This window comes from Homo sapiens, chromosome 1 (genome assembly GCF_000001405.40).
Source record: "Homo sapiens chromosome 1, GRCh38.p14 Primary Assembly".
In the NCBI taxonomy this organism is placed as follows: Eukaryota; Metazoa; Chordata; class Mammalia; order Primates; family Hominidae; genus Homo; species Homo sapiens.
The window spans coordinates 203,258,637-203,281,473 of record NC_000001.11 but is presented as its reverse complement, the minus strand read 5'-3'; the positions used below and the strand labels follow the sequence as shown (position 1 = coordinate 203,281,473).

The 22,837-nt window shown below is 47.6% G+C and overlaps 1 long non-coding RNA gene across 1 annotated transcript, besides 5 other annotated features; it reads left to right on the top strand.

Moving 5' to 3' along the window:
• LOC124904486 (uncharacterized) lies at nucleotides 7,425-14,360 on the top strand. Its single transcript, XR_007066798.1, has 2 exons — nucleotides 7,425-7,514; nucleotides 7,763-14,360. It is a non-coding gene; the product is annotated as an uncharacterized LOC124904486 (long non-coding RNA).
• Nucleotides 7,440-8,041: an enhancer, noted in NCBI's record as "H3K4me1 hESC enhancer chr1:203242561-203243162 (GRCh37/hg19 assembly coordinates)". NCBI's record gives its function as "activates a minimal SCP1, AML or CMV promoter by ChIP-STARR-seq in naive H9 embryonic stem cells {active_cell/tissue: H9 hESC(naive)}" and the evidence as "EXISTENCE:reporter gene assay evidence [ECO:0000049][PMID:30033119]".
• Nucleotides 7,440-8,643: a biological region, named in NCBI's record as "H3K4me1 hESC enhancers GRCh37_chr1:203241959-203242560 and GRCh37_chr1:203242561-203243162".
• Nucleotides 7,879-8,173: a silencer, noted in NCBI's record as "tiled region #10055; K562 Repressive non-DNase unmatched - State 4:PromP". NCBI's record gives its function as "represses a minimal TATA promoter and a strong SV40 promoter by Sharpr-MPRA in K562 cells {active_cell/tissue: K562}" and the evidence as "EXISTENCE:reporter gene assay evidence [ECO:0000049][PMID:27701403]".
• Nucleotides 8,033-8,082: an enhancer, noted in NCBI's record as "active region_2342". NCBI's record gives its function as "activates an Ori minimal core promoter by ATAC-STARR-seq in GM12878 lymphoblastoid cells {active_cell/tissue: GM12878}" and the evidence as "EXISTENCE:reporter gene assay evidence [ECO:0000049][PMID:35858748]".
• Nucleotides 8,042-8,643: an enhancer, noted in NCBI's record as "H3K4me1 hESC enhancer chr1:203241959-203242560 (GRCh37/hg19 assembly coordinates)". NCBI's record gives its function as "activates a minimal SCP1, AML or CMV promoter by ChIP-STARR-seq in primed H9 embryonic stem cells {active_cell/tissue: H9 hESC(primed)}" and the evidence as "EXISTENCE:reporter gene assay evidence [ECO:0000049][PMID:30033119]".
• Nucleotides 14,361-22,837: the final 8,477 nt, after the last annotated feature.

The following is a 22,837-nucleotide window of genomic DNA, read 5'->3' as shown; positions in this document are numbered from 1 at the left end:
AAAACCAAGGCCAAGGAGGATGGCATTGATTTTTTTCCCTAGGAAGGCCCTGTGGGAATCCCAAGAAAACTGGACAAAAGGCAGCTAGCAGCCATTTAGCTGTGGGTCATCTTCACCTGCCACTCCTTCTTCCAAGGGTGGAGGCCCAATGCCCATCCTCTCCAGAGAAAAGGACAAGCTTGAAGTTCCCAGCCAAGCCCTCTACTGGAGGCAGCTGGGCTGGGCTGGAAGGAGGGGAAAATCCAGTCTGAGGCAGAAGCATGCTTTGGGGTTCTGCCTCCTGAGTCAGTTCTGGCTGCCCAGGGGCAAGGAGGAGTGGCCGAGCCCCACCCAGATCTCTGGGATGCTACATTTTCGTATTTTACATCAGTATAAGCTCTCATCTTCACAGTCTCGGGGCACCAAGTTCTTGTAAACAGAGGGAAATGTACTCTAGCAAAACTTCCCAGATCTGATCTACTTATTCAACAAAGTATTTACTGAGTACTCATTCATGCCAGACTGTTCTACATGCTAGGGATACAGCAACAAACACAAAAGGCAAAAATCCCTGCTCCCTTGAAGCTTATATTCTACCAGGGAAGACAGACGGTAAATAAGGAAATACCTAAAATAGTAATGATATTTACTATTGATAAATATTAATGATATTTACTAATGATAAATACTATCATAAAGGCTAACGTGAAATAATCCAGCAGCAAAGTGGGATAGAAGGTACCAATAGTGAGGCCAGGCGCAATGGCTCATGCCTGTAAGAAGCACTTTGGAAGGCCAAGGCAGGTGGATTGCTTGAGGTCAGGTGTTCAAGACAAGACTGACCAACATGATGAAACCCCGTCTCTACTAAAAATACAAAAATTACCTGGGCATGATGGCACATGCCTGTAGTCCAAGCTACTCAGGGACTACTCAACTCAGGGGAATCGTTGAACCTGGGAGGTGGAGGCTGCAGTGAGCTGAGTTCCCACCACTGCACTCCAGCCTGGGCAACAGGAGCAAGACGCCATCTCAAAAAAAAAAAAAAAAAAAAAAAGAATGTGCCAACAGCGAGCATATCATTGAAAGTTTAAATTGGACAGCCAGGGAGGGCCTCATGGAGAAGGCAGCCTTTGAGGGAGGCATGAGGATTCTGAAGGAATAGAATTCCAAGCTGAGGAAATGGCACGTAGAAGGGCACTGGGCAGAGTGGCGTGCAGCTGGAGCCAGGAGAGCAGGGGAGAAAGTGAAGAGGTGGAGTCAGTGGTGGTGGGCGACACCATCCTAAAGGGCCTCGTAGGCCATGATGAGAATGATGAGGACCTGGGCTTTTCCTCTAGTGAGAAGGAGAGGCCAAGGAGAATTTTGGCAGAGGAGTCAGATGATGTGACATATTTTTAAGAGACTGCTTCTGAAAGCTGTGCTGGAAATAAGTGAGGGCTGGGTGTCAGTGAGAAATGGTGGTGGTTTGGATTGGGTTGTTGGCAGTTGGAAGGTAAGAAGAGACTGGACATTTTAAAAGAGGAATCTACAGGGTTTGCTGACAAAATGTGGGTTGTGAGAAAAACCCATGTGTGCCAGGCACCATGGGAATATGTAATGTCGTTAAAATTTTACGTTAATCACGTAAGCAAGGTTCTATTTTTTTTTTTTTTTTTTTTTTGAGACGGAGTCTCGCTCTGCTCTGTTGCCCAGGCTGGAGTACAGTGACACAATCTCGGCTTACTGCAACCTCCGCCTCCCAGGTTCACGCCATTCTTCTGCCTCAACCTCCCGAGTAGCTGGGACTACAGGTGCCGCCACCACGACCGGCTAATTTTTTGTATTTTTAGTAGAGACGGGGATTCACCGTGTTAGCCAGGATGGTCTCGATCTCCTGACCTCATGATCTGCCGGCCTTGGCCTCCCGAAGTGCTGGGATTCCAGGCGTGAGCCACTGTGCCCGGCCTTTGCAAGGTTCTATTGTTATAGGCCACTTTATAGACGTGGAATCGCTTAGAGAGGCCAGGTGACTGGAAAAATCACATAGCTAGCAAGAGGCAGAGCTCTGGCATTTATTTATTTATTTTTGTTTTTTGTTTTGTTTTGTTTTCTAATTCCAGGTTAAGTTCACATAGAGCTGGTATTTAAACCAAATCTTCCACTGAACACAGACCTTGAACTCTTAGCAGCTATACTGTACAAATCTCATCCATTCATTCAACAATTCTCCATTGCTCATCAGCTCTGCTTCAGGCACTGGTCTACATGTTGAGGACGCACAGATGAGTAAGAGAAAGTCCTTGACTTTGAGGAATTTATGGTTTGGAGGCGGAGACAGAGGTAAATAGAAATAACAACAGCGACATAACCATGCAAAGTCCTAAGCTCTCAGAGGAGAGGTGAGAAAAGACCCCTCAGAGGAGGTGACGTGTGGGCAGATGATGAGTAGGGCTTTGCCAGAAGAATAGGAATGGATGGAAAAGCATTCCTGGCAGACGGAGCTGTGTGTGCAAAGGCCAGGAAGCCCCCAAGAAGGGCAAGCACTGGTGCAGTGTTTTGCTGTGGGAGTAGCGCAAGGAGGCCTGGGAGGCGAGATGAGACAGAGAAGTGAGCGGGGCAGTCAGGAACGCCTGGAAAGGGCTTCCCCAGGCTAGGGGCAGTCGTTGCAGTTACCAAGGGGGTGTGGAGCGAATCAGATCTCTCCTTATGTGGAGGGCGGACACCAGGCAGCAGACACAGTTTTCCCTATTTCAGTATGATGCTCCCTGGGAAATCTGGTAGGACTGAGAGAACAGTCCATGTTTCCAGGAAACAAACAGTACTCTGTCCCTGCGTGCATGTCTCTCTGTGTGTCTGTCTATAAATATCCTCAGACGCAGCACTTGGCTGCAGTCTCCCCCGAGCCCCCGCGGCATCTTGCTCACACTCCCCAGCTGCCTCCACCCCTCCTCCTCTCTCCTGGCCAAGACCGGCCCCGGCAAACACCAGTTTCACTGCGCAGCAGGCAAGGCTGGGTGGGGGCCAGGACTGTGACCTCTGCCTTATCATTATTCCCTGTAGGACACCAAAGCAAGTGTCCAAACAGCAGCAGGAAGGGTGAGAATTTGGCTCAAAGAGGAAATCTGGAGACTGTTAAACCCAAGCTGAGCATGAACTGATGCCCAAGTGGGGCGGGAAGGGGAAGTTTGTTTCAAAACCTAACCCACATCCAATGGTTCACAGACCATCTTGGTCAAAGGCTGTGAATGGATGAGATGGTGACCCTTGTCCCATCCAGCTCTGTGATCCTTCAGATCAGATTGGTCGGGGGAGAGACAGCAACAGAGAAAGACAGAATATATATACCTATATGTATTTGTACACACACACATAGAGACAAAGACAGACACAGGAAACAGGCAGAGACAGAGGGAGGCAGAGGCAGATAGACAGTCAGAGACAGAGATGGGGCCACCAAGTATGGGTTCAAACCATGACAACTTTTTTTCTTTTTCTCGAGACAGAGTCTCACTGTCGCCTAGGCTGGAGTGCAGTGACGCGATCTTCGCTCACTGCAACCTCCACCTCCCAGGTTCAAGTGATTCTCCTGCCTCAGCCTCCTGAGTAGCTGGGATTACAGGCACACGCCACCGTGCCTGGCTAATTTTTGTATTTTTAGTAGAGATGGGGTTTCACCATGTTGGCCAGGCTGGTCTTGAACTCCTGACCTCAGGTGATCCACCCACCTTGGCGAGCCATGACAATTTTCAAAGACACAGCAAGGGCAGGCCTATGAGAAATGTTACACAGGATTAATGTGATACATATCAGAGTCCAGCTCAGTTCCCCTTCCAGATTTCCAGCTCAGAAATTTATACCCCTGTCTCCCCTTTTCTTGTCAGCCCTGGAAAAAAGCAAAAAGAAAACCAAAAACAAAGTAACACAAAAACCCAGAGGGACAAGGAAACAGAGGGAAACCACAGACTCCCACAGGTAAGCACTGAGGGCAGCTTCCTCCCCAAGCGCTTCCTAACCCTTCTGTTCCTAGCCAAGGGGGAACCCAGGTTTCCAGCAGCTCTTCCTGAGTCTGAGCCCCATCCAGCAGGTCAGGGCCTGGGTGGGGGCAGCCAGGGTGCTGTTTCCAGGCACGGGCTGCCTCCCACCCTTCTAAAGTACTGCGACTTGGCACATCTCACCAGGCAGCTGAGCTGAGCACTCGAGTCAGCCAAACACCCTTCTGGGCTCTCGGCTCATCAGGGGCCGCCCTGGGAGACAGCAAGTCCTGTTCTCCATGTACTCTAGCATGAAGGATAGGCCGTGTGACCTCAGCAGGCCCCTTCCCTCCTGGGACCCAGTTTCCTGGTCTGTAAAATGGGAATAAAAACAGTTGCTTTGCTAACCCACAGGATAGTGATGAGCAGGGATGGAAGTGCCAGCTGTGAAGGACGTCTGTGAGCTGTGTGTGCAGCACACACAGTTCAGGGGATCCCGATGTCCTACCTGCTCTAGGCTGGCTTGTGTTCATGTCACCCACAGCAGGCTTCCAAGCAGAGCAGGGATAGGAGTTAGCTTTCTTAGGGGTGTGTTTTCTTGAAGGGTGACCCTGAATTGGGGTATCTTCAAGAAGATCTGTTTGGGGGCTGCCTCTCTCCTTCAGAGGTTTGTGTAGAGAGTGTCAGTGGGGTAGAGGTTGGGAGGGGGCCATCGCCGGGAAGAAAGGCTCTTCCAAAAGGCTTCCATCCTCCTGGCCCAAGCAGCACCCCACACCCTCTTCTCCACCCACCAACCCCAAATCTTCAGATTTCTCTGGGCAGCTCCAGCCTCAGTTCCTTGGTCCCTCAGGTCTCCAGGTAAGAAACAGTCTGGGGGGAATGGGGGAAGCAGATCACCCCGGGACTTCCTCCTCCCTCGTCTCCCTTCTCCACCGGTGGGCTCATACCAGCAGGATCAGGGACACAGAGCTGAGGCCAAGGAGCAGAGGGACTCGGCCAACCTGGTTCAGATGCCTGCGGAAAACCTGCCCCATAGCCCTGTTTGTGAAGTTGATCTTTCTCTCCCATGGGCTTGGTAAAATCTCTATATTTGAAACTTTAAAAACCAGCATCTGTGTCATAACTATGAGACAGTTATCTTTTTTTTTTTTTTTTTTGAGATGGAGTCTCACTCTGTCACTCAGGCTGGAGTGCAGTGGCGCAATCTCAGCTCACTGCAAGCTCTGCCTCCCGGGTTCATACAATTCTCCTGCCTCAGCCTCCCGGTAGCTGGGACTACAGGCGCCCACCACCGCACCCGGCTAATTTTTTGTATTTTTAGTAGAGACAGGGTTTCACTGTGTTAGCCAGGATGGTCACAATCTCCTGACCTTGTGATCCACCCACCTCGGCCTCCCAAAGTGCTGGGATTCCAGGCATGAGGCACCGCGCCCGGCCAAGACAACGATCACCTACTGAGTCCCTCCTCACACTGGGCCAGGCGTTAGACACTTTACACATTTCAAATGTAATCCTCTCCCAGCTCTGTGGCTGAGTGTGCCCCGACTGACACATAAGGAATCTGGGGTTCCATAAGGGCAAGAAACATGCCCAAGTTCACACGCTGTGGCAAGTGGCAGGATCAGCTGTCATCCCAGGTCCCCCAGACTTGGAAATCTGTCACCTGGGAAACCTGTCACTCAGGGAAGGCATGTGGCTGAGGGAAGTGAGATATAGTATCTTCAAATCCACTCTAGGAACCAGAGAACATCTCCCTCAAGTTGAGTGCTGTGCACCCTTAAGGTAAGAATGGCACTCAGTTGGCAGGGCATGGAGTTCACACCTGCAATCTCAGCACTTTGAGAGGCCAAGGTGGGTAGATCACTTGAGCCCAGGAGTTTGAGAAACCAGCCTGGGCAACACAGTGAGACCCCGTCTCTACAAAAAATACAAAAATTAGCCAGGAATGATGGTGTGTGCCTATTGTCCCAGGAGGCAGAGGTTGCAGTGAGTCAAGATCACGCCACTGCACTCCAGCCTGGGCAACAGAGCTAGACTCTGTTTCAAAAAAAAAAAAAAGGAAAGAAAAAAGAATGTCACTAAATCAAATTGTAGCCCAATGAATTATTTGACACCTGCCTGACTGGAGAGACACTGTGATAAGAGAAGGGCTCGAGGAATAGCAAGGGCTTGTGAGAGGACCCAGGGCTGACCGGGGTGAAGAAGAACAGCTTGCAGACAGTGGCCATTGTAAATACGCCTTCTGTAGACAGGGAAGTCACCCAGCTGTCCAGTAATAGCAAGAGCTACTGTTTATGTTGCATCTGCCTGGACCTAGTCATTGCACAGCACATCATCTGTATGCTCCTCCCAGCAACTCTCTGGGTTGTTCTATGATCATCTCCATGTATCAGATGAACAAAAGGCCAAGGCTTAAGCAACCTGCCAAGGACATGTTGTTAAGAACTGGTAGAGCTAAGATTACAACCCAGGTCACTCCTGAGCCACACTTTCCCTGACACTTCCCGGCACGTCACACATTTCTGTAGCCCAGTCTGACAGACTGAGAAATCCTTCGAGAAAGGCTGGCTCCATTTGCTCTGGTTCTGCATTTGCCCTGGTTCTGCATTTGCCCGGCATCACCAGGAGGGAATGAATGACTTGAGCCAATTCCTGACATCAGCCTTCTAAACGAACTGGCGCTCATTGTAAGCGGTCACAGTGGCATTGTTTATCCATCCACCCACCTCCCGTATGTTTGGTTGGGTGAGCCAGGCCTGTAGATGTTAACCAGTTCTGGTGTCCTGAAAAATAAAACAAAGACAAGTTCTAGACCTGTCAAAACAAGACGGGCCCTGCCGCTCTAACCAAGGTTCTGCTTCAGGGAGTTGGGGTAGTGGGAGGGGCAGAGGCTACCTAAGGAGCCAGTTCAGGCTAGAGCTTGGGATATACAGGCCCAAGTCCTGGCTCTGTGTCCTGGGACAAGTTACCTAACCTCTCTGAGCTTCATTTTTCTACCAACCTCACAGAATAAAGATTTGTAAAATGACTCAGCAAACCGTAAACTGCCTTATGGTCTGCCCAAAGTTATCACAGCTGCTGTGTGTGCCTGCCTAGCCCACTGGCCCCTCCACGGCAGGCATTGCAGTGGGGCCTCACTCCTGTCACCCGATAAGATGATGCCTCTGGCTCCTTAAAACTCAGCGTGCCTTGCCTCCTTCAGGGTCTTGGAAGCTTTTGTTGGCAGCCCTCTACCCCCACCCCACCCCCAGCCACCTACCACCATCAGGAGACTTCCCCAGGGCTCCTGACCCTGTGGTAGATGCCCAGCACCCTCCCTGCTCTGCCAGCTCCTGTCTGTACCCTCAGCCTGGGAAGGATGATCACATGGTGGCCCTTCGGTAAGTGTCTATGAAAAGGGTGATTCTGGGAAGTGCAGAAGCAAAAAGGGGATGCTGGCGGGGCAGATGGGAGGGGCCTCCGCGAGCCCTGTCTGCTTCACAGTTTGAGTTCGCATTCTCCACCCTGTGTGGCCACAGGCTGCCTCCCAGACCAGCCTGACTATCCTGGGGAGTATCGTCCTGCAAACAGTGGTCTCTTGGGGTAAGGATGCATTGCCTCCTCAGGCTGGGAGCCCCAGGCAGAGGCCATGCTAACCCCCTTCCCCTGTGCACGGGCTCCACCTGGCCCGGCAGTTATCAGAGCCCAGGCTGGCTGATTTGACCTGAGCAATCACTTGCGTCTGGGTGAGACCGTGATCTCACCAGGCTTTTGGTTTGGTTTGGTTTTGTCTTCTTGTCCAATAACCTAAGGCCTATTTTACAATCCCCTGGCCCCTTTCCTCTGAACAGAGAAGCAAGCAGGGCTTCCTCCGTCCGGGCCTCACACTGACTTGGCGAGCAAGAGCACCGGAGAGACGGCTCTGTTGCAGGGGTCACCGGCCAAGGAGGCGGTCTACCCTGTGGGTCCTCCCCGCTGCAGGGCACACAGAGTGGCGCCCGTGGGGCTGAGCACGAGGCAGTGGCTCCTGACCCTCCTACAGCATCAGCACCGCCTCTGCCGGCCGCTGCCGGGAGTCCAGGACCGGGCGGACAGGAGAAGCCCCACCTTTGGCTCAGCACAAAGCCCACAGCACAGCCCCGGTGCACAGACGCGGTCACATGCACGCCCGTCCACACACACCCAGAGTAAGTCAGACGGGTGAGCAATGGTGACTGGCTTTGAATAAACACAATCAGCGATTTCAGACCTCTGGGGACCAGGTTACCTTTTCTGGGCCTCGAGGCTCGAGCACCAAGCGGAGGCCTGGCGCCCTCTGCCGGTGAGCTTGGGCGTGCACACCTGGTCTGTGGTTAATAAGCTGGGGGAGCCGCCTCCTCTGCGCTGCGTCCCGTGGGATGGCAGAAATTCTCCCGCTCCCTCCTTTCCGTCTAGGGATTAAGAGTGATTTACTTCAAGTCATTCTCCCAAAGGCAGGATCGTCTCCCTGTCGTGTGAAAGGAAAGATGAGGCTCAGAGAGTTTAAGCAAATGTCCCAGGATCACACAGCAAGTTGGGGGCAGTCCTGGAATTGGTCTCCTTCACTGGAGAACCAGAACTGACGTCACTGGGCCCACCCAGACCCCCGCAGGAGTCCGCACCTGGGTGTCCCCTTCACCCTGTTCTCCCGGGTCAAAGGCCAACGCTGGACCATTTCTATATCCTGGGCCTGCTCAGGGAGGGCTCTGGGCTAAAGGAATCGCGATGCTGGGCAAATGCTCCCTCAGACACTTAGTGAGGAAGCGTAATTGGGGGACCACTGCAGGAACTGAGGTCCTGAAGGGGCCTGCAACAGCCCTCCCCTCGGGGAGCTCCCACCCCTGGGGGAGACAGGCCAGATGAGACTACCAAGAAGTCACACCCCTGCCTTCCTACAGGGAGCAGTGCTGGATTTAGGTGGAGGTCAAGTGGCCTGAGGGTGAAGGTTAGAGGGCTCCTGAAGCCAGGCCAGGCTGGGTTCTCTGGCAGGGAGTGGGCGCCCAAGCCCAGGATCACTGCCTTCTTGGTGGGAGTCTCCTATGCCATCCTTCCCCTGTGCTCAGCCCCTCCAGGATCATAGGGGCCACCCATTTGTCTTGCTAGTAGGGGCCCTCTTTATCCTTGAGAACGTACAGGTTGAGACAGTGTTCGTGTCTTGCTTTTTTGGGCTGGGCCACCTTGGTGCCATTCTTCTGGATGCTCCTGGGATTCAGGAAGTGAGGTCTTTGAAATGAACGTTCAGGCTGCAATTAACCCTAAGGATTTACTGCAGCTTACAAAGAAACTTTTTCTTTTCAGAGCTGTTGGCCAGGGGCCAGGGCTGTCCCCACTCCCATCTGGTCCTGGCGGTCTGCCCTTGAGGCTGGGGCAATATGAGGAGTGTGTAGGCAAGTCCAAGGCTATGACTCCCATCATGTCTCCAGGCTCCAGGCGTCTTCTTAGGTTGCCTGCCTGGTAACAACTGTAGTCAGTGTCTCACACAGGCCCCAAAGCTCAGCTAAGTCTCCTCACCTGGGAAAAGGCTTCCTTCATGGGCCCACTCCTCCCTGATTCTCTTGTGTGCCTGAGATCTTTTAACAATAGTTCCCATCACTGGGCAGTGAGTAGATGCCTCATACAGGGAAACCCCTCACTGCTGTACCATGATGATTACAGGACAAGGACTTGGAGCCAGATAGACCGGGATCTGATCCCAGTTCAGCCAATTACTATCTGTCACCTTGGGCAAGCTGCTTAACTTCTCTGAACCTCAGTTTCCAAATCTGTCAGTCAGGATAATAGTTCTTATGGCCTGGGGTTGTGCAGGAATGGAATGGGATAATGCATGGACTCCACGGAGTAAATCGTTTGTGTGATAGTGGCATTATTTCTTCTTTAAATGTCACTGTGACTTACTCTACTACCCTGAGGTCTGGTTCAGAAGTTCTGGTAAGAAGTTACAGGGTGATCCTGTGAGTTTGCATAGAGAAAGCACTCAGACACGGGCTGCAGGAACTGTGGCCACATTTGAGAGCACTTGAGCTACTGCCACACACTTCAGAATATCTGGAGGCAGGAACAGAGAAGGGGAGGTTGTGCATAGTATATTCCAGGCTCTGTGCTAGATCCTTTGCATCGGAGGCTTCAGTTAATACAAATTGTTTGTTGTAAGATAGCATTATCTCCAAGCCTAGAGAGGCCATGAGACTTGCCCGAGGCCAGAATCTAGTGTGGTAGAAGCTGCTAGTCTCCAATAACTTTCTACTATTTTATCAGGGTAAGAAAAGTTGTAGCAGGAAACATGGCTGCCCAGAATGAAGACTGCATTTCCCAGTCTCCTGTGTGGGTAGGCGTGGTCACATGACTGAGTTCTGGCCAAAGAGAAGTAAGTAGACGCGTTATGCAGCAGTGTCTGGGAACCTTTCTTAAGACACAGGTTGTGCATCTGCTGTCTGCTCCTTCTTCTTTGTCCCTCCCTCTGTTTTGCTACTTGGTAGGCAGGTGCTACCTTGTACCATGAGGGCAAGGGCCACTCAATAACAACACAATTGCTGCTGTTGTGAATTTTCTGTTACTCTCATTTCTACCTCATCTTAACTGAGATGCCCTGTGATAGAGTGGGGGATTTGAACCTGAGTCAGTCAGCTGTTTCTCAACACAATGCGAGGTTTCTGGGTCCCCTGTGTGCTCCTGCTGTACCTCATCAGCTCTTAGGTGTGAAGCATCCCTTAGAACTCTGATGAGGTGGCGTTGAAGGAGGGGAGCCACTCTAATGCAGCTTTTCGAACTCATCCATTCCAAAGATGGCTCAGGGCCTTTGCTAGATCCAGAGGCAGCTTGAGGGCGAAAGTCCAGGGCCCTGAGAGGGTGGAAGAGGTGACACTTCTAAGATCCAGGAAACCCCAGCCTCTGCCACAAGACTGGCTGCACAGCTACCCCTGTGGCAGGTGAAGGCAGTGCTCAGGTAGTCCTGGGACTCTTTCTAAACTTCTCTGGCCTGGCCCTCAATGTCCTCTGACAGACTCTAGCTTGCTGGGACACCTCTAAGGAAACTGCCAAGGGAACTGCAGAAGCAGGAGCAGGTGAGAAGTGCCCGGGTGTCTTCTTTCCATGGGGGAATTTGGAGAAGCATTCTGAGCCCAGCAAAGTGTCAGGCAGGCAAGGTAAGGCCTCACCTGATAGGAGGTGTATCCTCGTACCTAGTCTCAGCAAGGAAGGTTGCCAGCTTCATGGCTCTTTTGAGTTAAAAGGGCTGTAAGATCCTTGGTAAACGACCAGAGCCTGAATGTCACAGGGAAGAGGTTGGACTGGGACCCAATACAGCTGCCTATGTATCTGAGAAGACGCTATTTATAAACAGAGAAGGTATTTATTGGCTGGACAATCCTGAGGAAGTCTCCCACTTCTCACTCTCATTCATAAAGTGGGGATCATGATCACTACCTCTCAAGCTTACTGTAACATTGAATGAGGTAATGAATATGAAAACACTCAAAATCTATAAAGTATCTACAAACCTGGAAGATTATAATTCTGCATTTGTACAGTAGAAATAACAGTACCATGGTTGCTATTAGTGCCCAGCCAAATCCCCTTTACTGGTCTGGTGCAACCCTCCATCCCTGCCCACCGGCTGCTGTGAGGTTTGGCTGGTAACAGTTCACAGTTATTCCCTCTGCAGAGACTTCCCCGGGAATGGAAGCTGCCTTACTTGGGGCTTGCAGCCGATGCTTGTCTGACACAGGGGCAGGAAAGGCCAGTCCCCGACCTCAAGACAAGATGAACTCTGGTGTAGCACATGCTTCAGGGATCCCCATGAAATCAGGCCGCAGCTCAGCCACAGCTGACACCACAGCCTGGCTCCCTCCTTCCCCACCCCACTCTCCTTCCTTTTCTTTCTTCTGAGGGTTCTTCCCCAACAGAAGAAGATATGCATGAAATCTGTCCCAGGCTCTGCTTTTAAGGAATCTGGTCCACTTGTCTGCCGTACAAAGTTGCTATGAGGGTTAAATAATATAATACAGATGAAGAGATTAGCCCAGTGCCTGGCATATACAGTGCATATCCAATTAATGTTAAAGATTGCCATTATCCATGAGACTGGAGCATCAGGAACATCTTAGTGTAATAGTGAGGTGTGGAAATCTGGTGAGTGAGTCAGTGGATTGAATTTTACATGCTTAGGGACTGGGGTGGGCAGAGAGAAGGGCAGCTGGGTTTCCTTGGGTATCACTGGTTGTCTCAGCTTTGGGCAGTGAGGGTCCTTTACACAGCTAGGGAAAAGTTCCAGTCATTACATACTTCTACCAGCAGAGGACGCCACTTCCATACAAATAAGTGTTTCCTCTGCTATCTGATGCAGTTTTCATCAAAGCAGTCTAGGCTGGCAGGAAAGATCAGGTACATGACAGAGCAGAAAGTGCCTTCAGATTTGCACAGATAATAGGAGAGGGCAGAACAGGAAGAAACAGTGAGTTAAGCTGTTCAGGAAGCTTCGTGGGAGGTGAGGCCTTGAGCAGGGCACTCTAGCACCAGAAGGAGTATTGAGTGGAGATGGCATTCCCAGGGAAGCCACTACCCTAGGCAAGGTGACCAGGGCCTGAGCCAGGGCCGTGGCAGGGAGGCAGCCACGAGAGGGTATGAAGGACACCAAACACAGGGACAGGACTGATTTCAGCTGAGAGGTCTAGGAGGAGATCATGGGCCCACCAACATGGGGTAGACGTCAGGAAGGAGCACGTTTTTATAGGACAGAGCACACTTCTCCAACTGGTTTGACTGCCCTGTTACAATGTCCTCTGCAAGCCATCATTCTGTAGGATTCCTGTTTTGTGTGGATTCTAGAAACCAGTGAAATATTCAGAGGTGTTAATAGCATCAAGATTTCATTGGTTCTTTCCATTCTTTTTATTTTTATTTTTTGAGATGGGGTCTCAGTCCCTGCCCCAGGCTGGAGTGCAGTGGCACCATCACAGCTCACCACAGCCTCAACACCCCAGGGCTCAGGCGATCCTCCTGCCTCAGCCTCCTGAGTAGCTGAGACCATAGGTACGTACCACCATGCCTGGCTAATTTTACATATATACACATATATGTGTGTATATATAATTATATACGTATATATACACATATATACATATATAATTATATACATATATACATATATACACACACATATATGTGTATATATATACACACATATATATGTATATATACACATATGTATATGTGTGTGTGTGTGTGTGTATATATATATATATATATATATATATATATATTTGAAGAGACAGGGTCTCCTTACGTTGTCCAGACTGATCTTGAACTCCTGGGCTCAAGCGATCCTCCTGTCTCAGTCTCCCAAAGTGCTGGGATTACAGACGTGAGCCACCGCGCCTGGCCAGCTTTTTCCGTTTTGAGTAGAGACGGCAAGAAGCGCCCCACAGCTTGCCCTTGCTTCGGAACTCGGGGTTGTGAATCAGTCAGGATAGAAATTAATGGTGCAGTGGGAATAAAGAGGAATGTTAGATGATCTCGCAGGGGTGGGGGAGAACCCAAAAAGAAAGAACGAACGTGAAGAAGCCTAGCTCTCCGAGACTGGGGTTCAGTCCTTGCTGGAGAAAGTGCGTTGCAGCCCATTGAGGGCAGAAGAGTTCTCTGGGTTGTCCCTGGACAGAACCGGGCCACAGTCAAGAGAGCGAACATTGTGGGGAAGAGAACGGCAGGCCACGGCTCAGGGGCTGGAAGCCCCCTGCTGGGGTGCCCACAAAATTCCTCCGGAAGTTGCTGTTGGGGGATGCGCTGAACTCATGGCAAAGCCACCTAGGACTCACGCAGAACTTGCTGGGAAGCTGCCCCCGGGGAAGTGCGCATGCGGGACTTCGCAGGAAACTGGCTGGGTCAAGTCGGCTCCACCAGGAATCCACCCAAGACGGTGCGGCTGAACTCGCCACTGGGAAACTAAGTGGGACACCCACAGAACTAGCCGTGAAGATGCCTGCGGAAGTGCCCTGAAACTGAGCTGAGAACCCCGGGGGTTCAGAGTCCCGAAAGCAAGTAGGAAGGAAAGCTTAAAGAAACCGCAAGAGAAGTCTCTTCTTCTCTCTGTCCTCTAGCGCCCTCTACTGACACAGTTTAACACTGTGCCCGCTGGCAAGGGAGAAACGTTTGGAGCCAGAGAGTAATAAACTGGTAACTGGTACAGGATGTTAGCCAACTCCACTGAGGATGGGAGAGCTCTTCTATAAGCCCTTTTTGAAAAATAGTACTTGAGGACATAGTCCTGCCAGCTAAGAAACGAATCAAAATAAATAATTCAACAGAAAAAATGTAAAAGAAAAGGCAAAGAACAATCAAATCAATAAAACTAAATGAACGAAATAATTATAATTAATATAATATGAAACTAATCATTATTATTAAAATTAAATATAATAAATATTTCATGATTATAAATTGGGGTTTTTGTATCACAATTTACTTTGACAAAAACTGGGAGGTAGCAAAGAAAGAGTATACTATTAATAAAAAGTGAGAGGTGGCAAAATAGTATGCATGTATCTTATTGATCGATATGGCCTTATTCTTGATGTTAAGACATTTAGGCCGGGCGCGGTGGCTCACGCCTGTAATCCCAGCACTTTGGGAGGCCAAGGCGGGCAGATGGCCTCAGCTCACCAGTTCGAGACCAGCCTACGCCACACGGTGAAACCCCGTCTCTACTAAAATACAAAAAATTACCCGGGCCAGCCGCCCCTTCTGGGAGATGGGGGGGCGCCCCCGCCCGGCAGCCGCCCCATCTGGGAGGTGGGGGGCTCCTCTGCCCGGCCGCCCCGTCTGGGGGGTGGGGGGCCCCTCTGCCGGGCCGCCACGTCTGGGAAGTGAGGAGCCCCTCTGCTCAGCTGCCACCCCGTCTGGGAGGTGTACCCAACAGCTCATTGAGAATGGGCCATGATGACGATGGCGGTTTTGTCGAATAGAAAAGGGGGAAATGTGGGGAAAAAGAGAGATCAGATTGTTACTGTGTCTGTGTAGAAAGAAGTAGACATAGGAGACTCCATTTTGTTCTGTACTAAGAAAAATTCTTCTGCCTTGGGATGCTGTTAATCTATAACCTTACCCCCAACCCGGTGCTCTCTGAAACATGTGGTGTGTCAACTCAGGGTTAAATGGATTAAGGGCGGTGCAAGATGTGCTTTGTTAAACAGATGCTTGAAGGCAGCATGCTGGTTAAGAGTCATCACCACTCCCTAATCTCAAGCACCCAGGGACACAAACACTGCGGAAGGCCGCAGGGTCCTCTGCCTAGGAAAACCAGAGACCTTTGTTCACATGTTTATCTGCTGACCTTCTCTCCACTATTGTCCTATGTCCCTGCCAAATCCCCCTCTCCGAGAAACACCCAAGAATGATCAATAAATACTAAAAAATTAAAAAAAAATTAGCCAGGCGTGGCAGCGTACGCCTGTAATCCCAGCTACTTGGAAGGCTGAGACAGGAGAATCACTTGAACCTGGGATGCGGAGGTTGCAGTGAGCCGAAAGCATGCCACTGCACTCCAGCCTGGGCGACAGAGCGAGACTCCATCTAAAAAAAAAAAAAAGGAAGTTAAGAGATTTTAAAAATAAAAGGTATCAGCCAGGTGCAGTAGTTCACCCCTATAATCCCAGCATTTTGGAAGGCCAAGGTGGGAGGATTGCTTGAGCCCAGGAGTTTGAGACCAGCCTGGGCAACATATTGAGAACCACCCCCCACCCCCATCATCTCTACAAAAAAGATAAGTTGCCGGGCAAGATGGTGCGTGCCAAGCTGGTAGTCCCAGTCCTCGGAGGTTTGAGCCCAGGAAGTCAAGCCTGCAGTGAGCCAAAATTGAGTCACTGCACTCCAGCCTGGGCAACAGGGAAAGAACCTGTCTCAAAAATAAAAAGATAAAAAATAAATAAAAGTTATCCATCCGCTAATAGAATAAAAGCTGAATGGAAAATTCCCAAGAACCTAGAGAGAAAGAGTAAGAAAAAAATGGATTAATATAGCAAAAGACAAGAAAATAATAAAGAGGAACAAAAGATATATAATGTGTAACATAAAATTACAGTAGGTAAATCATGCTAGTAATGATAAGCAATGTGAATGTTTTTATAACACAGGTTTAAAGCAAAATATTTTTGAATGGTTACAAAATAATAATATAGGCAAAGATATACAAAGTAGATGAAATTTACACAAAAAACAGAACGTAAAATTTAAGACAAAAAAGCAATGGCTGGGAAATAGAAGGCATAAAATATTCACCATGTGTTTATAACCATTATAAACCTTAAGACATTAAATAATGCTATCTCAAAAGATAAAATGTGAAATATATCAAAAATTCAGGAGTTGCCTAAACCACAAATCATATAGGAGAAGAGAAATTTTTAAATACTGCTCTCAGCTGTCGAAGATTGAGTTTTTGAAAGAATAAACTAAGATACAGAAATGGCAGCTTCTGGCAATAGCAAATTAGCTAATTTGGACCAACCCTCCTGCTAACGACAGTGAGGTGAGCTGAATGCTTGCTTGAAAGCATAGGAGCCCTGACAAAATAGTACAGAATCCTGGGCTAAGATCCGGAAGAAAGCGGATATCCTGACAGGTGAGCTGCATTTGGGCCACTTTTGACCTAACAATATTTGCCAATCAAGAAAAGACAGCTGAGAGGTTGAACATTATTCATGAGAGCCACATGGGGTTAGGGGATAAAAGTTGGAGTCTCCGGGCACAGTGGCTCACGCCTGTAATCCCAGCACTTTGGGAGGCTGAGGCGGGTGGATCACAAGGTCAGGAGTTCGAGACCAGCCTGACCAACATGGTGAAACCCCATCTCTACTAAAAATACAAAAATTATCCGCATATGGTGGCGCATGCCTATAATCCCAGCTACTCATGAGGCTGAGGCAGGAGAATAGCTTGAACCTGGGAGGCGGAGATTGCAGTGAGCCAAGATCACACCACTGCATTCCAGCCTGGGTGACAGAGCGAGACTCCGTCTAAAAAAAAAAAAAATTGGAGTCTAGAACCCACCAAGGTGGGGGCCCTGATAACACCCCACACCCCGCCCTGACACATACTGTGGGTTGGAATCCAAAACAGCTGCATCCCAAGAGCAGGTCATCTATTCCCTGCATGCTGCAGCCCAGCTTCCAGTCATCTGGGCGGCCCAGAAAAACCTCAATTTTTAAAGCTGGATTAAACTTACTCCAGACTGCCAACTACCAGGACTCCTAGGCTTGTTAGGCTTGGAAGAAGCAAATAAAAATCATCTCTGGAAGAAAATGACATCATCCCAGGCCTCAATTATTCCTACAGTTTTGCAAGCACAATGTCCCGAACATAATAAAAAAACAACTGGGGGCGTTCTGCTCCCACTTAAAAAATCCTGCGAGAACATGGCTCTCATTATAACATCACGTGACAGCTGGAACACCTACAGCAGCATAGATTTTAAAAGCCATCAGAGAGCAGAAGTGAGGCTGCAAACAGAACAAAGCAAAACAAAAATAAGTTAATTAAAATTCCAGAAAGTAATAAGTAATTCAAAGTAATAAGTCATTCCCACAGCCACTTTCAGAGGAGGGAAAGGAGGCCACCCTTGATCAGGGTAAAAAGAAACCAGTGTGGGCTAGCATACTGGGCCAGGGTCCCAACAAGCCCCAGCCGTGAAGAGAGTCTGCACCTGCTCACCAAGCCGCACCACAGACCTTCCCAGGGTGTGAAAGTTGAGGGCAGAGAATCGAGAGACTCTCTCCTCAGGCGGACACACACAGGGCCTGCTGAGGACAGGGTCGTTAACTGAGAGAAACCCTCTGAGAAACTGGGCCCTCTCGGAGGCTGCCTGAGATGGGACAGGACAGGAGGGCTGAGAAAGACCTTCCTGAGGAAAGACACGCAGAGTCTGCTCAAGCTGGGAACAGGAAAGGAGAACTGAGAAAGCCGCTCACAGACACTCTGGTCTTTCAGTGAATATACTGACTTGGCGCTCCACCGCTAGGGACAGGAATCAGGGTGGAGAGAGATCTCCCAAAGCACAGAAGGCCAGGGGTTGGATTACAGAGCAAAGAAATCTTCCCAAAGATCCAAAAGCTAGCAGCCAATCTTTAGAGTCAGGTGGCATATGCCCACAGTTCAAAAAGCTAGCAGCTGGACTGTACAGCATAAAGAAATTTCTGAGACCAGGCATGGTGGCTCGTGCCTGTAATCCCAGCACTTTGGGAGGCCAAGTCTGGTGGATCATGAGGTCAGGAGTTTGAGACCAGCCTGGCCAACACAGTGAAACCCCGTCTCTACTAAAAATACAAAAATCAGCCAGGTGTGGTGGCATGCATCTGTAGTTCCAGCTACTTGGGAGGCTGAGGCAGGAGAATCGCTTGAACCCAGGAGGCAGAGGTTGCGGTAAGCCCAAGTCGCGCCACTGCACTGCAGCCTGGGTGACAGAGCGAGACTCCATCTCAAAAAAAAAAAAAGAAAAATTTTAGACGTGTGAAGAATTTTCCACAGACTAGCCTCTGATGCCGTATGTTTCAAACCTTGTCACTCCTCAATGATTTTAGGTCTAATGTTTAAGTCTTTAATCCATCTTGAATTAATTTTGTATAAGGTGTAAGGAAGGGACCCAGTTTCAGCTTTCTACATATGGCTAGCCAGTTTTCCCAGCACCATTTGTTAAATAGGGAATCCTTTCCCCATTTCTTGTTTTTGTCAGGTTTGTCAAAAATCAGATGATTGTAGATGTGTGGTATTATTTCTGAGGCCTCTGTTCTGTTCCATTGGTCTATCTCTCTGTTTTGGTACCAGTACCATGCTGTTTTGGTTACTGTAGCCTTGTAGTATAGCTCAAAGTCAGGTAGCATGATGCCTCCAGCTTTGTTCTTTTGGCTTAGGATTGTCTTGGCAATGCAGGCTCTTTTTTGGTTCCATATGAACTTTAAAGTAGTTTTTTCCAATTCTGTGAAGAAAGTCATTGGTAGCTTGATGGGGATGTCATTGAATCTATAAATTACCTTGGGCAGTATGGCCGTTTTCACTATATTGATTCTTCCTATCCGTGAGCATGGAATGTTCCTCAATTTGTTTGTGTCCTCTTTTATTTCGTTGAGCAGTGGTTTGTGGTTCTCCTTGAAGAGGTCCTTCACATCCCTTGTAAGTTGAATTCCCAGGTATTTTATTCTCTTTGCAGCGATTGTGAATGGGAGTTCACTCATGATTTGGCTCTCTGTCTGCTGTTGGTGTATAGGAATGCTTGTGATTTTTGCACATTGATTTTGTGTCCTGAGATTTTGCTGAAGTTGCTTATCAGCTTAAGGAGATTTTGGGCTGAGACAATGGAGTTTTCTAAATACACAATCATGTCATCTGCAAACAGGGACAATTTGACTTCTTCTTTTCCTAATTGAATATCCTTTATTTCTTTCTCTTGCCTGATTGCCCTGGCCAGAACTTCCAACACTATGTTGAATAGGAGTGGTGAGGGAGGGCATCCTTGTCTTGTGCCACTGTTCAAAGGGAATGCTTCCAGTTTTTGCCTGCCCAGTGTGATATTGGCTGTGGGTTTGTCATAAATAGCTCTTATTATTTTGAGATACATTCCATCAATACCTAGTTTATTGAGAGTTTTTAGCATGAAGGGCTGTTGAATTTTGTCAAAGGCCTTTTCTGCATCTATTAAGATAATCATGTGGTTTTTGTCCTTGGTTCTGTTTATGTGATGGATTATGTTTATTGATTTGCGTATGTTGAACCAGCCTTGCATCCTAGGGATGAAGCTGACCTGATCGTGATGGAAAAGCTTTTTGATGGGCTGCTGGATTCGGTTTGCCAGTATTTTATTGAGGATTTTTGCACCAATGTTAATCAGGGATATTTGTCTAAAATTCTCTTTTTTTGTTGTGTCTCTGCCAGGCTTTGGTATCAGGATGATGCTGGCCTCATAAAATGAGTTAGGGAGGATTCCCTCTTTTTCTATTGATTGGAATAGTTTCAGAAGGAATGGTACCAGCTCCTCTTTGTACCTCTGGTAGAATTCGGCTGTGAGTCCATCTGGTCCTGGACTTTTTTTGGTTGGTAGGCTACTAATTATTGCCTCAATTTCAGAGCCTCTTATTGGTCTATTCAGAGATTCAACTTCTTCCTGGTTTAGTCTTGGGAGGGTGTATGTGTCCAGGAATTTATCCATTTCTTCTAGATTTTCTAGTTTATTTGCGTAGGGGTGTTTATAATATTCTCTGATGGTAGTTTGTATTTCTGTGGGATCAGTGGTGATATCCCCTTTATCACTTTTTATTGTATCTATTTGATTCTTCTCTCTTTTCTTCTTTATTCGTCTTGCTAACAGTCTATCAATTTTGTTTATCTTTTCAAAAAACAAGCTCCTGGAATCATTGATTTTTTTGAAGGGTTTTTTGTGTCTCTATCTCCTTTAGTTCTGCTCTGATCTTAGTTATTTCTTGCCTTCTGCTAGCTTTCGAATTTGTTTGCTCTTGTTTCTCTAGTTCTTTTAATTGTGATGTTAGGGTGTCAATTTTAGATCTTTCCTGCTTTCTCTTGTGGGCATTTAGTGCTATAAATTTCCCTCTACACACTGCTTTAAATGTGTCCCAGAGATTCTGGTATGTTGTGTCTTTGTTCTCATTGGTTTCAAAGAACATCTTTATTTCTGCCTTCATTTCATTATTTACCCAGTAGTCATTCAGGAGCAGGTTGTTCATTTTCCATGAAGTTGTGCAGTTTTGAGTGAGTTTCTTAATCCTGAATTCTAATTTGATTGCACTGTGGTCTGAGAGACAGTTTGTTGTGATTTATGTTCTTTTACATTTGCTGAGGAGTGCTTTACTTCCAACTATGTGGTCAATTTTGGAAAAAGTGCAATGTGGTGCTTAGAAGAATGTATATTCTGTTGATTTGGGGTGGAGAATTCTGTAGATGTCTATTAGGTCTGCTTGGTGCCGAGCTGAATTCAAGTCCTGGATATCCTTGTTAACTTTCTGTCTCGTTGATCTGTCTAATATTGACAGTGGAGTGTTAAAGTCTCCCATTATTATTGTGTGGGAGTCTAAGCCTCTTTGTAGGTCTCTAAGGACTTGCTTTATGAATCTGGGTGCTCCTGAATTGGGTGCATATATATTTAGAATAGTTAGTTCTTCTTTTTGAATTGATCCCTTTACCATTATGTAATGGCCTTCTTTGTCTCTTTTGATCTTTGTTGGTTTAAAGTCTGTTTTATCAGAGACTAGGATTGTAACCCCTGCTTTTTTTTTTTCTTTCCATTTGCTTGGTAGATCTTCCTCTATCCCTTTATTTTGAGCCTATGTGTGTCTCTGCTCGTGAGATGGGTCTCCTGAATACAGCACACTGACTATCCAATTTGCCAGTCTGTGTCTTTTAATTGGGGCATTTAGCCCATTTACATTTAAGGTTAATATTGTTATGTGTGAATTTGATCCCACCATTATGATGTTAGCTGGTTATTTTGCCCGTTAGTTGATGCAGTTTCTTGCTAGCATCAATAGTCTTTACAATTTGGCATGTTTTTGCAGTGGCTGGTACCGGTTGTTCCTTTCTATGTTTAGTGCTTCCTTCAGGAGCTTTTATAAGGCAGGCCTGGTGGTGACAAAATCTCTCAGCATTTGCTTGTCTGTAAAGGATTTTATTTCTCCTTCACTGATGAAGCTTAGTGTGGCTGGATATGAAACTGCGGGTTGAAAATTATTTTCTTTAAGAATGTTGTATATTGGCCCCCACTCTCTTCTGGCTTGTAGAGTTTCTGTCAAGAGATTCGCTGTTAGTCTGATGGGCTTCCCTTTGTGGGTAACCCAACCTTTCTCTCTGGCTGCCCTTAACACTTTTTCCTTCATTTCAACCTTGGTGAATCTGACAATTATGTGTCTTGGGGTTGCTCTTCTCGAGCAGTATCTTTGTAATGTTCTGTGTATTTCCTGAATTTGAATGTTGGCCTGCCTTGCTAGGTTGGGGAAGTTCTCCTAGATAATACCCTGAAGAGTGTTTTCCAACTTGGTTCCATTCTCCCCATCACTTTCAGGTACACCAATCAAACGTAGATTTGGTCTTTTCACATAGTCCCATATTTCTTGGAGGCTTTGTTCATTTCTTTTTACTCTTTTTTCTCTAAATTTCTCCTCTCACTTTATTTCATTAATTCATCACCAAGTCAATCCTAAGCCAAAAGAACAAAGCTGGAGGCATCACACTACCTGACTTCAAACTATACCACAAGGCTACAGTAACCAAAACAACATGATACTGGTACCAAAACAGAGATATAGATCAATGGAACAGAACAGAGCCCTCAGAAATAACGCTGCATATCTACAACTATCTAATCTTTGACAAACCTGAAAAAAACAAGCAATGGGGAAAGGATTCCCTATTTAATAAATGGTGCTGGGAAAACTGGCTAGCCATATGTAGAAAGCTGAAACTGGATCCCTTCCTTACACCTTATACAAAAATTAATTCAAGATGGATTAAAGACTTAAACGTTAGATCTAAAACCATAAAAACCCTAGAAGAAAACCTAGGCATTACCATTCAGGACATAGGCATGGGCAAGGACTTCATGTCTAAAACACCAAAAGCAATGGCAACAAAAGCCAAAATTGACAAATGGGGTCTAATTAAACTAAAGAGCTTCTACACAGCAAAAGAAACTACTATGAGAGTGAACAGGCAACCTACAAAATGGGAGAAAATTTTCGCAACCTACTCATCTGACAAAGGGCTAATATCCAGAATCTACAATGAACTCAAACAAATTTACAAGAAGAAAACAAACAACCCCATCAAAAAGTGGGTGAAGGACATGAACAGACACTTCTCAAAAGAAGACATTTATGCAGCCAAAAAACATGAAAAAATGCTCACCATCACTGGCCATCAGA